This window comes from Homo sapiens, chromosome 2 (assembly GCF_000001405.40).
Source record: "Homo sapiens chromosome 2, GRCh38.p14 Primary Assembly".
NCBI lineage: Eukaryota > Metazoa > Chordata > Mammalia > Primates > Hominidae > Homo > Homo sapiens.
Window position 1 is genome coordinate 208,412,913 of NC_000002.12, and position 16,379 is coordinate 208,429,291.

The 16,379-nt window shown below is 35.7% G+C and overlaps 1 protein-coding gene across 9 annotated transcripts in view; it reads left to right on the forward strand.

The window, feature by feature from the left end:
* The window catches only part of PTH2R (parathyroid hormone 2 receptor), a 134,815-nt gene that overhangs the window by 53,221 nt on the left and 65,215 nt on the right, over window positions 1-16,379 (forward strand). For 7 of the 9 annotated variants that reach the window (NR_163994.1, NR_163993.1, NR_163991.1 and 4 more), the window contains exon 2: window positions 15,289-15,391. Coding sequence is in view for 1 of the 9 variants with exons in the window: in NM_005048.4 (NP_005039.1) it covers window positions 15,289-15,391 (103 nt within the window). In the remaining 8 variants the exon portion in view is untranslated. Of the gene's footprint in view, window positions 1-2,607; window positions 2,675-3,948; window positions 4,025-15,288; window positions 15,392-16,379 lie in introns of all 9 variants that reach the window. The other 2 variants (NM_001371905.1, NM_001371906.1) reach the window with 2 other exon arrangements.

The following is a 16,379-nucleotide window of genomic DNA, read 5'->3' on the forward strand; positions in this document are numbered from 1 at the left end:
TTATATATATTTTCACTTGACATTATACAATCCACTTTTTTCCATTTTCCTATGACTATTTTCCTGTCTTATGTACTCATTCTCTTTCTCTCTCACTACTGTCCCATCTCCTCTCAATCCCACTCAGATAATACTGTGTATCTTCCACCTCTTTCTCCATAATTTATTTGCTCATATAAAATATAAACACAGATGTAGTTATTTCATCTTTATTTGTTTAAAAAGTGACCACACACACACACACACACACACACACACAGAATGTTTATAAACAATGTAGAAGACTGGCAATTTGAACTCATTAAATTATATTACAAATGACAGAGAGCCACCACTTGAATCTTGAGAAAGTGATCCTCCTTTCATCTTGGAGTGTTATTATCATGGTATGTGCTCCCCATGTGATGCCACTCTAGCAATTTCAGACACAGCTACATAGAAGTCATGATTACAGAAACTCCAAGAGCCAACCTTACCAGAGACAGCATTTGACACTATCAAGTGTCACTGATGTACAGAAAGAAAAATTGGGCTTTAAGGAATGAAAGTGTAAAAATGATTCAGTGCTCAGGAACTATAAAGTGAGTTACTTCAAAATGGAATTTGAGCTCTGTTATGATTTCAATAGTGCAAGAACTACACTTAATTATTCCTGCATTAACCATTATTTTTATATTTTTGAACATTTTTAACATATGGAATGTAAAATATTGACTAAATGGAACATGTATTATTTTTACATTCTTGAAGTTTTCTATGTGTTGCTGAAAACCATTTATTTATTTGTATTACCTAATTAGCCACCTTGAATAATGTTACAACTAAAAGTGTAAGGGTTGAAGAAGGAAGAAAGAAACACAAAAAGTGGCTCAACAGTCAAAGACAGAATAAACCTGAGACGGGCTTCTGGCCAGTTTTGGTCAGGAGCATGCTCTCTTGCAGACTAAGAGTATTTAAGGGTTCAGGGTGGGAGAGCTTATCACAGGCTTGGACTGCTTCTGTGCCTCTTTGTCTTGCTTATCTGGGAGGGAGAGTTTTTGTGTTTGTTCCCGTACATCTTCCTGTAGCTGCAGGCATATCCCCCACGTCTGCTTTTAGCTTCCCTATCTTAGTGCACCTAATGGGAAAGGAATATGCTTACTAGGGCCCACTGTTTTACTGGGGCTCATTGTATGAGTGTGAAGTTTGGTGGTTACTCAAGAGACTTTCCCCCTCCTTCTGTGCCCAAGCTGTCTTATCTTTGTTTTACTGTCTGCTCTTTCTGGTTGCTTGTTTAGAAGAGAAGTGATTTCCTTGAAATGCTTGAGGTTAGAAAGGGAGCTAGAACTTAAAATGGTGGTGTTTGTCCAAGATGACAGTGCTCCTGCTCTGTCAAAAGCAACTAAAAGTGGAGTTTAATATAATAAAAGTTTAATATAAAAATATAATTTAATAAAAGTGGAGCCCATTTAATATATCTGGTGACAATAGTAGTTAATGATATTTTTGTATTCAGTCTTGTGCATGTGTAGATATAATATATCCTGCATGGTTACATTCCTCATAGTATTCCCCCAAGTTCAATAAAAGCAATAACCATTGTACTATTTCTTTTTCTGTTTATCTTTTGAGTCCTTTGTCAGCTAATGAGGATAGTGAATTTTTTTTCAGTTTTTTTTTTCTATTAGAATATCTATTAGAATAAGTAATTTTGGGTTGATACATCCTCAGTTCTCAAACTTTATTCCAAAATTTTTATCCACTAGAACAAAAATGGACAAACTATGGTCTGCTAACCAAATTCATTCCATCATCTGTTTTTCTATGCCTCATAAGCTAAGAATGATTTTCACATTTTTAAGTCATTGAATAAAAATCAGAAGAAGGATCGAGGTTAACATTAAGAGTGAAGTCATGTTGATAGCTTGCACTCTTGATAGGTGAGTGGCACTTTACCTCTGTGGTCTTCCCTTTCAAAACATATTGGCCCAGTTCCATAATGAGAAAACCATAAAAAAAAACCCAGCTGTGGAACAAAATGTCTGACTAGTGTTTCTCAAAACTATTAAGATAAATAAAAATGAGGAAAGCCTGAGAAACTATCACAACCTAGAAGAACCTAAGGAGACATGACAACTAAACATGATATGGTGTCTTGATGAGACCCCAGAACAGACAAAGGACGTTAGGTAAAAACTAAGAAAATCTGAATAAAGTATCAGCTTAGTGAATAACAATAGATCAATATTGATTCATTAATTATGACAAATATACCTACTAATCTAAGATTTTAATAAGGGGAAACTGAGTGTTTATGGGAACTCTGTACTATCTTATATAAATAAATTTTTTTTCTGTAAATCTAAAACTATTCTAAGATTTAAAACATTTAAAAGGGGATTTTATTGTATTTTAAAAGGACAATATTTTGTAAGTGTGAAGATTAAATAAAATTAAAATTTCAGTGTTCATAAAATTTTATTTGAACACAGCCACATTCATTCACCTACTACCGCTTCGCATGGCTGTTTGGTGCGTTCTGAATTGCAGTGACTCAGTCATAACTTGACATATTTCAAGTGCTACATGTATTGCTCTACATTTTCACTTTACTTTTTTCGCTACCAGGGAGAACCCATCATGTCAAAATAAGAAGAGAAAAATGGACTAAATATTCTGCTTCTAAAGGCATAGTGTATGTGGATTTTTTTGCTATCAAATAAAATGGAAAAGCATTGTGTTTATTATTCAGTGATACTACAGCTGTGCTAATATAATACAATATATGTTGTCATTCCCAGATTAAGCAATCATTACAGTATTCCCAGCTGATAGCACAGCATTCAGTCAGAAAAAATTAGAAAATTTAAGATGAGATATCACATAACTTCTTTTAAAAAATGAGGCTGCAATAAAAGTAAAGTTCAAAGTAAGGTTCTCATTTGTTAGCTAAGCGAGGAAAGCCATTTACCAATGGTGAATTAATAAATGGGTTAAATCATGTTTGATTGTAGCAGGCATGAAATGTGTCTAGAGAAAATAGCTAGTTTAAAACTACTTACCTTTTGAAAAGAATAGAGTTGAGGATGTTGTAGCAACATCAATAATCAATTAAAAAACAAAGCAAATGATTTTAAGGGGTTTTCCTTGGCCCTTGATGAGTAATATCAGTAACATTTGTTACTGATATTAATCAGTTGTTTATCTGAGGAGTCAATGCTGAGTTTGGTTTACTGAAGCGTTTGCCTTGAAAAATAGTCTGTGTGGGAGAACATTTTCAAAGAATTTGAGAAAATGACTAATTTAGTTCAACCTGAAGTGGAGTGTGCTAAGACGTGTTAAAAATGATGGTGTTAAACCTTTGTGTGGAAGACCAATCAAAAGCTCATGAAAATATAAAGCATTTAAAATCAATGGTTATTTATTGTATTATTTATCTGCAAGCACTTTGTAGGAAATATTTGAATATATCATGTGTTATTGAACCAATAATGTCAATGGCCAACTTTGTTCACCCTTACGAACTTAATTATCATCAGTTCTTTAAATTTTTGTCAGAAATAGAAGCCGCATACTTTGACTTGCCCTACTATGGCTTAGCCATGATAAAGCTTACTATGATTTTTCTGAGCTCAGGGTTAAAATGTTGAAATTAGGTGAACTACTTTTTCAAGCTATCTGCCGTTCTGTATGTGATGGTTAATACTGAGGGTCAACTTGATTGGATTGAAGTATACAAAGTATTGATCCTGTGTGTGTCTGTGAGGGTGTTTCCCAAGGAGATTAACATTTGAGTCAGTGGGCTGGGAAAGGCAGACCCACCCTTAAGCTGGGTGGTCACAATCAGCTGCCAGCATGGCTAGAATATAAACAGGTAGAAAAATGTGAAAAGAGAGACTGGCCTAGCCTCCCAGCCTACATCTTTCTCCCGTGCTGGTTGCTTCCTGCCCTTGAACACTGGACTCCAAGTTCTTCAGTTTTGGAACTCAGACTGGCTCTCCTTGCTCTTCAGCCTGCAGATGGCTATTGTGGAACCTTGTGATTGGTGAGTTAATACTTAATAAACTCCCCTTTATATATATATCTATTCCATTAGTTCTGTCCCTCTAGAGATCCTTGACTAATGCAATGTACCTCTCAATGAAGATTGGAAAAGAAAGAAGGGATGAAGAAAAAAAGAGTTTAGTTTTAGGTAACAAGAGTCTCTTGATCTTTGGTACTTTTGTTTTTCTTTTTTAGAAGGGGTTTATAATTCAGTAGTGATGGATGAATCTCATATTAGTTTCAGGAAATTTGTTAAAGCTGCCAAAATGTCCTTCCGAGATTTCATTATTTATCTCTCGAAATGCATTAAGGATCCATTTTACATACATTGTAAAATTAGTCTTTTTTGCTATAATCCTGGAAGCCGAGTAACTAGGCATGTGTATAAAGAAAGAAGAGAGAGAAAATTCCTATGCCAAAAATTGTAACTGGGGTGTAGCTAGATGTTTTTTCTCTTGGAGGCAATCTAGTTCATTTGCAAGAAATGGTGTTGAAAATACATGGATTTATTTATTTGAAAAATTCCAGGTCTGTTTGTTACAATAAAGCTGGTCATAAAAACACAAGTACTTGTTAAGAGAGAAGTACTGTTCAAAGGTGGGAATCTTTTTTTTTTTTTTTTTTTTTTTTTTTTTGTGATGGTGTCTCACCCTCTCGCCCAGGCTGGAGTGCAATGGCACAATATCAGCTCACTGCAACCTCCTCCCGGATTAAAGCGATTCTCCTGCCTCAGCCTCCCGAGTAGCTGGGATTATGGGCACATGCCACCATGCCCGGCTACAAACGTGGGAATCTATGGTCTAACAGGAGGAGAACATCATTAGAATAAGCTGGATAAAATAAGAAAAGCTACATAGAAAATCCAGGAGTAACTGTGCAAGTCAGCCATATCTTGAGGGGAGAAAGAAAGGCAAAATATCACAGAAGTAGATCAGTCTTGCTTATCATTGCAAAACATGAAAAATCAATTTTAACTATGTTAAAATACAAATACCTTATGAGCAATTTTGGCTTTATTCTGTTGATTCTGCTATTTGCAGATGTTAGCAATACTTTTATAAGAAAGCCATGAGAATTTACTAGAAACTATTAAAACTAAAAAGAGTTCAGTAATGTCACCAAGAATGACATTAAAAATAGGAAGTAAAATAGCTTCCTTATGTGTAAAAAAACTACCACTTAGCATAATAAAAATATCCTATTAGTAATAGCTATCAAAAATAAAATAACTAGAAATGAATAGAAGAATTATGCTGAACCTATATGACAAAAAAGAAAGCTTTACTAAGGCTTAAAAATATAAACATTAAATAAATGAAGAAATATACCATATACTTATCAAAGGACGATAAAGGGAATGTCTCATATTTTCAGGAGCCTATATAAGTTGTGAGGGACTACCTAATGCATGATTTCTTTTGCACTCAATTTTTTTTTTTAAGGAGGAAGAATTTTAGCAAATTTTATTAGTGAGTATAAATGAAAAAATCAAAAGCAAAATAATAGCAAACCAACTCCAACAATGTATGAGAATGATAATACACCACAAATATCATTCCAGCAAATACAGAAAAAAAGTGATAAAGTTTAACACCCATCCATGAAAGAAATTCTTAATAAAATAAGCATAAAAGGGAACATTTACTTTGAAAAAAGGTACTTAGAAAATATTATCATAAAAATTATACTAAATGAGGTAGTTAGAAATATTCCACTTAAAGGGAGAAATAAGATAAAAAATTTCATAGTTTTCTGGTTTATCTTTGAGTTTTGTTTTACAAAAATGTATCTGTATATTTTCCCTCTTTTTTTGCACAAAAGGTAGCATTCAATTTATACTCTCTGCATTTTGTTTTTCTTACTTCACAATACATCCTGGAAATCATGTTAGGTCATAGAGTTTTCTCACTCTTTTTTATAGCTTCATAATAGCCTATTTTGTAGAAGTACCAAATGTGTGGGCATTTAGTTTTTTCTATCTAATATTTTACATGTATAAATAATACTACACTGTATAGTCTTTATGTATTTTCATATTGTTGAAGCTATAACTTAAATGTAAATCCCTAAAAGTGAAGTCAATCCTTTGGGTATATACCCAGTAATGGGATGGCTGGGTCAAATGGTATTTCTAGTTCTAGATTCCTGAGCAATCGCCATACCAACTTCCACAATGGTTGAACTAGTTTACAGTCCCACCAACAGTGTAAAGGTGTTCCTATTTCTCCACATCCTCTCCAGCACCTGTTGTTTCCTGACTTTTTAATGATTGCCATTCTAACTGGTGTGAGATGGTATCTCATTGTGGTTTTGATTTGCATTTCTCTGATGGCCAGTGATGCTGAGCATTTTTTCATGTGTTTTTATTTGCTGTGTAAATGTCTTCTTTTGAGAAGTGTCTGTTCATGTGCTTCGCCCACTTTTTGATGGGGTTGTTTGTTTTTTTCTTGTAAATTTGTTTGAGTTCATTGTAGATTCTGGATATTAGCCCTTTGTCAGATGAGTAGGTTGCAAAAATTTTCTCCCATTCTGTAGGTTGCCTGTTTACTCTGGTGGTGGTTTCTTTTGCTGTGCAGAAGCTGTTTAGTTTAATTAGATCCCATTTGTCAATTTTGGCTTTTGTTGCCATTGCTTTTGGTGTTTTAGACATGAAGTCCTTGCCCGTGCCTATGTCCTGAATGGTATTCCCTAGGTTTTCTTCTAGGGTTTTTATGGTTTTAGGTCTAACATTTAAGTCTTTAATCCATCTTGAATTAATTTTTGTATAAGGTGTAAGGAAGGGATCCAGTTCAGCTTTCTACATATGGCTAGCCAGTTTTCCCAGCACCATTTATTAAACAGGGAATCCTTTCTCCATTGCTTGTTTTTTAAATCATGCTGCTATAAAGACACATGCTCACGTATGTTTATTGCGGCACTATTCACAATAGCAAAGACTTGGAACCAACCCAAATGTCCAACAATGATAGACTGGATTAAGAAAATGTGGCACATATACACTGTGGAATACTATGCAGCCATAAAAAATGATGAGTTCCTGTCCTTTGTAGGGACATGGATGAAGCTGGAAACCATCATTCTCAGCAAACTATTGCAAGGACAAAAAACCAAACACCGCATGTTCTCACTTATAGGTGGGAATTGAACAATGAGAACACATGGACACAGGAAGGGGAACATCACACACCGGGGACTGTTGTGGGGTGGGGGGAGTGGGGAGGGATAGCATTAGGAGATATACTTAATGCTAAATGACGAGTTAATGGGTGCAGCACAGCAACATGGCACATGTATACATATGTAACAAACCTGCACATTGTGCACATGTACCCTAAAACTTAAAGTATAATAATTAAAAAAAAAAGAAAAAAAAAGTGAAGTCAAAAGATAAATGTACATTTAGGACTTTTTCAATTTTGCCTATTTCTTCTCCATAGCAGTGGAAACATTTTACATTCCCATGAGCATTGTATGAGGCTATTTTTTCCACACATATTTGCCAGCAGAATGTTGCTCTCAATTTTTTTTTGCTAATGAAGTAGTCTTAATATATTTGACCTTACTTTAGCTCAAAATACTATATTGCACTTAATTTATAATTAACTTAAAATTTAATTGGTGTTTTTCATGGTTATAGTCATTAAACTAAACAATTCCTTAAAAACTTTAGCAGATGAATTTTTAAAAATCTGTATTTTGAGAGAATTATAGATTCACATGCAGTGTAAGAAGTAATACAGACACTAAATACCTTTCACGTAGTTTCTTTCAATGGTAACATCTTTCATTACTGTAGTACAATATTACAATCAGGAAATTGACATTGATATAATCCCTCTGTCTTATGCAGATTCCATTGGTTTTATACATACTTGTGTGTGTGCACATGTATTTAGTTTATGCAGTTTTATCACATGTAAAGTTGCATGTGATCACCACCACAGTGAAGATATACAATAGTTCCAGCACAGGAATCCTTTCATAGCCACAACCACTTACTTCTCCCTTCCCTGCAACACCTGGCAACTACTAATTGGTTTTTTGTCTCTGTAATCATTATATGACTCTTAAAAATTTAACCGTGCTTTGTTTCTAAGTATAATTGGAGCTCTATAAATATCTATAATAAATTCACATGTAGTTAATTAAAATATAAGAGAAAAGGATGAGTAATAGCTTTGAAGGATGACAGCTCAATGTGATCGCATTCTTAATGTTTTCATTTAACTGTGTATGAGCCATACCACAGATAGATACAAGTTTTTCTTAAATCATTTTCAGTTTGCTTCTTGCATGAATAGGGTCGTGGGGATTTTTAGAATTTGTAGCCAAATGTGCAAAATCAACTGATCTTCAGATTTAGTTTGAATTAGAGTTCATTATATGAAAGGATTAAAAACTTAAGAAGCCAAGACATTTTCATATTGGGGGTGTGTGTGTGTGTGTGTGTGTAGTGTCTGTGTGAGTATGCATGCTTCCTTGTGTGTGTTTGTATATATATTTATGATGTATATCTTACCTGTTTTTCTTTTTTTATGTTGAATTAAAAAAGGACTAAACAAAAATAGTTTCATGGTTCATAAAGGTAGATGATTCAATAATATTTTTCTCAAAACTATAATGTTTATTATAAGATTCCTTTATTTTAAAGCAGTATTACAGACAATACATTCTAAATAATTAAAAACATGTTTTCATTGTTAAACCTCCTTTAGAACATAAAAGCTTCAGCTACTCTCAAGGGAATCACACTCGTGAGAGTGACATTGGCATTTAAGAAAAGGAAAATAAAATAATTATAAGTTCATGTGAACTTTTTTGAGGCCTGTGGGAAAACATGGAGTAGAAAGTTCATAAAACTGATTTGTTACTTGGCCCATTCACACTGGAGTATATGAGAAACCCTGAATTCCAAGCAAAATTCCTTCTTATAGACCAGCTCAGTTTTCTCTCAGACTACGGAAAATAGAATGGCTAGCTGTATTAGAGTTCTTCAGGAAACAGAACCAGTGGGATATACATACAAACAGATTTATTGTGAGGAAGTGATTTACACAATATGGAGGCTGAGAAGTACTAGGATTTGCTATAAGCAAACTGAAGATCCAAGAAAGCTAGTGGTATAATTCAGTCCAAGTCTGAAGGTCGGAGAACCAGGGGAGCTGATGGCATAAATCTCATTTTGAGGGCTAGAGAAGATGAGATGAAATGTTGCCAGGAAGGGAAAAAAAGGGTGCAAATTCCTTCTTCCTCTGCCTTTTATTCAATTGAAACCTTCAACAAATTAGATGAGGCCCAGTTACATTGCGGGAGGGCAATCGGCTTTGCTGAGTCTACTGATTCAAAGGTTAATCTTGGATGAAGACAGACACATAGACACACCGGAAACAAATGTAATCTGGGCACCCATGGCCCATCGAAGTTGCTACATGAAATTAACCACCACACTTGCCTAGAGGGGAATTCATTTTTAAAAAACATATCCTTGTGATCCTTTTGAAATTCAAGTAAAACTTAATATATAAATGTTATAATATCTTTCCAAGAGAATATTATATTCGTTAAGTAGACTTCACTTTAGGAAAGATATATTTTTGTAAAGCTATAAAATAATCATATCTAAAACATTTTTATATACCTTTTTTATGATCACCTGTGGTAGATTCTCATTTACTAGAATGAGGTAATATTTTGTGGTTTTTTTAAGTGAGAGAAGAATGCTTCTTTTTTTAAAAAATGATTTTTTTGGTGATAATTGTAAATTCACATGCAGTTGGAAGAACTAACGAGAGTGAACATGTGTATCGTTTACCCAGTTCCCCCCTTATCACTTGTAAGATAACATCTTATAAAACTACAGTAAAATATCACAACCAAGATAATAATATTGATAACTGTCAAGATACAGAACACTTTCTTCCCAGAAGGATCCCTTCTGATGTTCTTTGTAGCCAAACCCCCTTCCTTTGCACTTCCCACTCCTCAACTCCTGGCAACCACTATCTCCTTTTCATTTCTATAGTTTAATTTGTGTATTCTTCCTTTTTTTTCTTGGTTGGCTTTCTAGAAGCTTGTCAATATTATTGGTAATTTTAAATCACCAGCTCTTTGTTTCACTGACAGTCTGCATTGTTTTTCTGTGTCAATTTCATTGATTTATCCTCTTAACTTTATGATGTCCTTCTTTCTACTTGCTTTGGTTTTATTTTACTCTTCTTTTTGTAGGTTCTCGGGGTGGGAGATTATATTACTGATGCAAAACTTTTCTTCTTTTCTAATGGATGTATTTAGTGCTATGCATTTCTCTTAGCACTGCTTTAGGTCTGTCCCACAAATTTTGATATGTTGTTTTGTATTTTCATTCAGTTCAATGTACTTTTGATTTCCCTTGAGACTTTCTTTTTGACCCATGGATTGTTTAGAAGTGTGTTTAGTTTCTAAGTGTTTGGAGAGTTTTGTTATCTTTTTGTTATTGATTTCCAGTTTGATTCCATTGTGGTCTGAGAACATTGCAGTCTGAGAACTCTGTATGCTTGCAATTCTTTTAAAATTGTTGAGATTTGTTTTATGATTCAGGATATGGTCTACCTTGGTATTTGTTCTGTATGTATTTGGAAAGAAAGTGTATTCTCCATTGCTGGGTGAAGCGTTCAGTAAATGTCTATTAGATCCTGTTGGTTGATGGCATTGTTGAGTTCTATATCCTTGCTGATTTTCTGTCTAGTTGTTCTATCAATTGCTGAGAAAGGGGGTTGAAGTTTCCAGTTGTAGTAGTGGATTTGTTTATCTCTTCTTTCATTCTATCAGTTTTTGCTTCACATATTTTGCAGCTCTGTTTTTTTGATGCATACGCATTTTTGAGGGCCATGTTTTCTTGATGGAGTGACCCTTGTATTATGATATAATGTCCCTCTTTTAGTCTCTGGTAATTTTGTTTGCTCTACTTGGTCTGGTACTAATATAACTGGGGAAGTGGGATTATCACCTTATTACTGCTCATAGAAGTAGAAGTTTTGGTTCCTCCGTCAGCTATCACTGACACCTATGGTGGGCTGCTCCGTGGTCCTGATGTGTGGGGGTATGAGTGCTGCTCCTCATGTGGCCTCCACTGTCACCACAATGGGAGTAGCCTTGTTACTGCTAGGCTGACTCTCCACTAGGTCTTCTCTGACCCCCGCTCCAGCAGAGGAGTAGAGGGACACTGTGTTACTGTCAGGAGGGGTGGAAGTCCAGGCTTCTTATATGCAGGTTGTGAAGAAAAGGTGGGGGTGTCCAGAAGCCTTGTTTCAGGCCAGTGAGAGGGAATGTTTTAGTTCTTTACTTTGCTCTTAAACCATTCTGGGAGTTTGCAGGGGTCCCTTGTCATTTTGGGTTGGGTTTGTGAGACAGCATGTCAGGCAAGTGTTCTTGTATAAGTGGTTAGCTGTCCTTGTGTTGCTAGCTGTCCTTGTGTAAGCTGTCCATGTAGTAAACTGTGGTTTGGAAAAATTTCTTGCGATAGTTCCCATTATCCAGCAAATCATGTGTGAGAGCCCTGCCTTCATGGGTCTGCCCTGCTCCACTTGCCAAGGCTTGACATAAGTTACTCTAGTTTGGATCTTACAACTTCCACATTTCTCTGAAAGCATCACTGATCGACTCTCCTGTGGGTTGGTTTTAATTGTCCCTTGGTGCTGAGATGCACCTGTCCTGGATTGTTGGTATGGTCTCACATTGGGAAGAAGTGATTGGCGACTGGGAGTCAGTATCAAATCACTTTCAGCCACATTTGAGCAACAAGCCTGACCTGGAGAAAGTGGCTCTCAGGCTAAATCTTCCTGGGGTCCACAGTTAAGTTCAATTTTGTTGGTTCCATAAGTATTGGTTATCATTTGAAACACTGGCCCAGCATTATTCTATCAGGAGTGTTGTTTCTATAGAATTGGGGCAGGACACAGTTAGGTCCAAAGTTTAAAGGAAATAATACAAAGTAAAACCAACAGGAGCATAACGAATTTATTTTGTACAATGATTTTGAACCAAGAGGCCAAGCCTGAGGCCAAGAAACTAAGCAAATCAAAAGACCACTGGGAAACCGGGTGAGACCTGTTGTAGCCATTGAGATCAATGGACTAAATAAAAATTTCTAAAACTCTAATGAAAAAACTAATGGGTTCATGAAGCTGCAAATCAAAATCAAGCAGAACAAAATAATTACATAAGATTGAATACTTCTTAAAAATTATAATTTTTATGACCTTAAGGAGGTCATAATCATTGTGAAGGCAATGATTTATGACTTGCAAATCACATGTAATGAGATGGAGTAAAAAGCTGAACCCTTGAGATATTGAGGTAGGAGGTGGGGCTCAGAGACTGGACCAAATTGAGGACTAGCTAAAAGAGGGACATGGTGGAAGCAGCTTTCCATAAGACACATCCTCCAGTGTTCCATGCCAGTTTACCATTGCCATGGCAACACTGAAAGTTACCACCCCTTTCCACAGCAATGACCCAATGACCCAGAAGTTACCACCCTTTTAAAAGAAATTGCTATATAATCTACCTCTTAATTTGCATATAAGTGGGTATAAATATGACTGCAGAACTGCCTTTGAGCTGCTACTCTGGGCAGACTGCCTGGCCCTGCTCTGCAAGGAATAGTACCTCTGCTGCTGCTGTATACTGTCACTTCTATAAAAGTTGCTGTCAAACACCACCAGCTTGTCTTTGAATTCTTCCCTGGGCAGAGCCAGAAACCCTCCCAGGCTAAGCCCCAGTTGTGGGCTGCAGCTTGTTCTGTGGTGTTTTTCCAGGCTGTCTTTTTTCTTCCTTGGCTAGAGAGCAGGCTTCTCTTGAGACTTTTAAATTTTTCTGCCTGTGCCTATTGATATTCCAGAGTTTCCAGCTTCTTTTACTCCAAGTTGGGGATGTATGAGGGAGAAAGAAAACCCAGGGAATTTACCACCATGTTGTCTTCCAGGATCTGTAGCCTGCTCTGCTATCTTCTCTCTGCCTTTTAGAATATTGTTATATTCATTTTATATGTAATGTGTAGGGCTTTTGTTTATATTTACTGAGAGGAATTGGGGAAAGCACATCAACTCCATCATGCTGGAAGTTCCAGAATACCTCTTAAATTAAGCTAACTTATGGATTTATGGTTACTTAAAAATTGAATAAATGTGAATATTGGGTTAATTATGAAGATTTTCATGTCTTGACATTAAAATTGGTATCTATATTTATAACTTTAGGGGCTTTTAATAAAGTACAAATTACCAAAGTAGGGCTTCTCTTAGCTATCAAATATGTGACAGATTGGAATTTAACATTTTATTTCAAATCATAAATGATCACTTGTCCAGGAAAAATTACTAACATCTATTTTTCTAAATGTAACATTTTGTTTTGGGTGCAATTGTTGCTTTTGGAGAACTAGACATTGAAAATGTAAACTGCTCTTCTGTTTGAAGTACACTATCATTTTAATGTCATTCTATGTTAAACAGTGCTTGTATCTACAACAAAGGAATAAAAAGAAAGCAATATAAAAAACAAGTACTTATTTGCTTTTACTGGAAATGACTGATTTGGTTTGGCTGTGTCCCCACCCAAAATCTCATCCTGAATTGTAATCCCCATAATCCCCACATGTCAAGGGTGGAAGCAGGGGAGGTAATGAGATCATGGGGGCGGTTTCCCCCATGCTGTTCTGATAGTGAGTTAGTCTCATGAGATCTTGTGGTTTTGTAAATGTCTGGCATTTCATCTGCTTGCACTCGCTTCGTCCTGCTGCCCAGTGAAGAAGGTGCCTCCTTCTCCTTTGCCCTCTGCCATGATTGTAAGTTTCTTGAGTCTTCCCCAGCAATGTGGAACTGTGAGTCAATCAAGTCTCTTTCCTTACCCAGTCTTGGGTATTTCTTCATAGCAGTGTGAGAATGGACTAATACAATGACTAAAGATCAATTTAACAGATTGTGATTTAGCACATTCTGATCATACTTGCTCCCGGCTAAACTGACCAGATGTTTTAGAACAAAATATCTTTAGAAGCTGTAGTTTATAAGATGCATGGTTTCCTGAAAAGGTTATCCCTATAAAAAGGCTGCGTGTACACAGGAAGAAATAAAAAAGAATATTTTCGAGTAAAAATGGCACAAGGGGTGATTTGAAATATTCACGTTTGATAATTGAAGTCAAATTTCTCTGAATCAAATGTATAGTTCTGAAATTTGGTCACAATTTATACAATGTTTTCTAGGATTGAAGTAAAAGGAAGTAACGGTTTAACTGAAAAAAACAGCCAGGAAAAAACCAAAACAAAACAAAACAAAAAACTTCAGGTGTGCCTGACTGTTTCTAGAGAACGAATGGGAAGGAGTCAATTTTTCCTGCCATGCCCACTCAGAGACTCATGTATATCCAGTTCATTTGCTCTTTTTGATATGTGAGATTTTAGGCTCACTTTCAGTGTATCTACTTATAACTCAGAATCCATGTTGTATTATATTGATAGATAAATTCTGGTATGTATTTCAACCCCCAAAATTAGTTTTTGCTTATTCTCTCATTTTCTAAAAAAAAAATCGTTAAAGTAAATATGGGCATTGAGCTATGAATATAATCCAGAAATCTCCAAAACTATATATCTGACTATTCACTGAGATTCTCTTTGTGCTGTAAATATCTTAGAAAATAATACCCAGCTACGCATCTCCCAAACTGTGAAACAAATTAATGTTTGTTATTTTAAATCACAACAATATTTTGGGATGTTTTGTTACACAGCTATAGGTGATAAATACAGATGGTTTCTTCTTTAAGGTTCTGTTCCTCTGGAACCAACCACTCTTGGTACTAAATAAATTGTATCATGTTAGATGGAATTATAATATTGCAGGAAATTATATATATTTTTGTATATTATTTTTATTTTTTGTAGTATATTATCTCTAATATAATTATTTTATTTTAAATATTTTTTCTTAGTATAATATCTCTTTTTTTTGTAGTCTATTATCTCTAATATAATTACCTAACTATATTAAAATTTTCTCACTTTTTCTGGTATGAGATTTTTTAAAAGGCTAATCAGGTAAAAGTAAAATTGTTCTAAAACCTTACACATTGATGGATTTTGAATTTTGATTCAGATAAAGGACTATTTCAAATAGCTTGATATCAAACTCATTTTCAATTAGATTAGAAGGTGAAATAATGAAAGCTTGTATCCTGGCTTGAAAAAACATGATGAAAATGTTTGTATTTTGTTCACTTCTACAGCTGGATTCTGATGGCACCATTACTATAGAGGAGCAGATTGTCCTTGTGCTGAAAGCGAAAGTACAATGTGAACTCAACATCACAGCTCAACTCCAGGAGGGAGGTAAAGATGCCAAGAAAATTGGCTCTCCTTGTGCCTCCTATCTGTTCTTATAAAGATTGCACATTTCCCTCCTTCTTTAGTGTTAGGGAGATCCTTATCAGTCAATCCACATTTCCATGTGGAGGGGTGTGCAGCAGAACAACAACACTCTTTTCATCTCTACCCTACATGCTTTTCCTTCCCTGTGGAAAAAGTGACTTGCCTGATAGTGAGTTTGAGAATAGCAACTGGGCATGTGCACATCAGCCTATCCCTTAGTCCTTTCTTCAGGGTTTGTCTGCCTGTAGAGAGCATGCATACTGATTTGCCCTCGACCATGCAGTAAGCTTGGAGGAGTAGGCTCTGTCCCTGTGGACATTGCCTCTATTATAAAATATGCAGTTCAAAATCTACTTCATACTTCTCTAAATGCCAGCAAATAATTGTGATTGATTTCTCAATTGTTTATGATCAGAGAATGTGGTCTGCATGATACTGAGTTTTAAAAATGTGTTGGGACAGCCGGGCACGGTGGCTCACGCCTGTAATCCCAGCACTTTGGGAGGCCGAGGTGGGCGGATCACCTGAGGTCGGGAGCTCCAGACCAGCGTGGCCAACATGGTGAAACCCTATCTCTACTAAAAATGCAAAAATTAGCTGGGCGTGGTGGCGCATGCCTGTAATCCCAGCTACTCAGGAGGCTGAGGCAGGAGAATCGCTTGAACCCGGGAGGTGGAGGTTGCGGTGAGCTGAGATCGCACCATTGAACTCCAGCCTGGGTGACAGAGCGACTCTCTGTCTCAAAAAAAAAAAAAAAAAAGTGTTGAGACTTAATGTCTTATAGTTTTGTCAATTTTGATAATTTTCCATGTGGTCTTCAAAGGTATGTATGCCCTCTAGTTTCTGAGTACAATGTTTTATAGTGTCCACTAGATTAAGCTTGTTAGTTGTGTGGTTCATATATTCTGCATCCATAATGATTTTTAAAATGTGCTTGACCTATTATTTT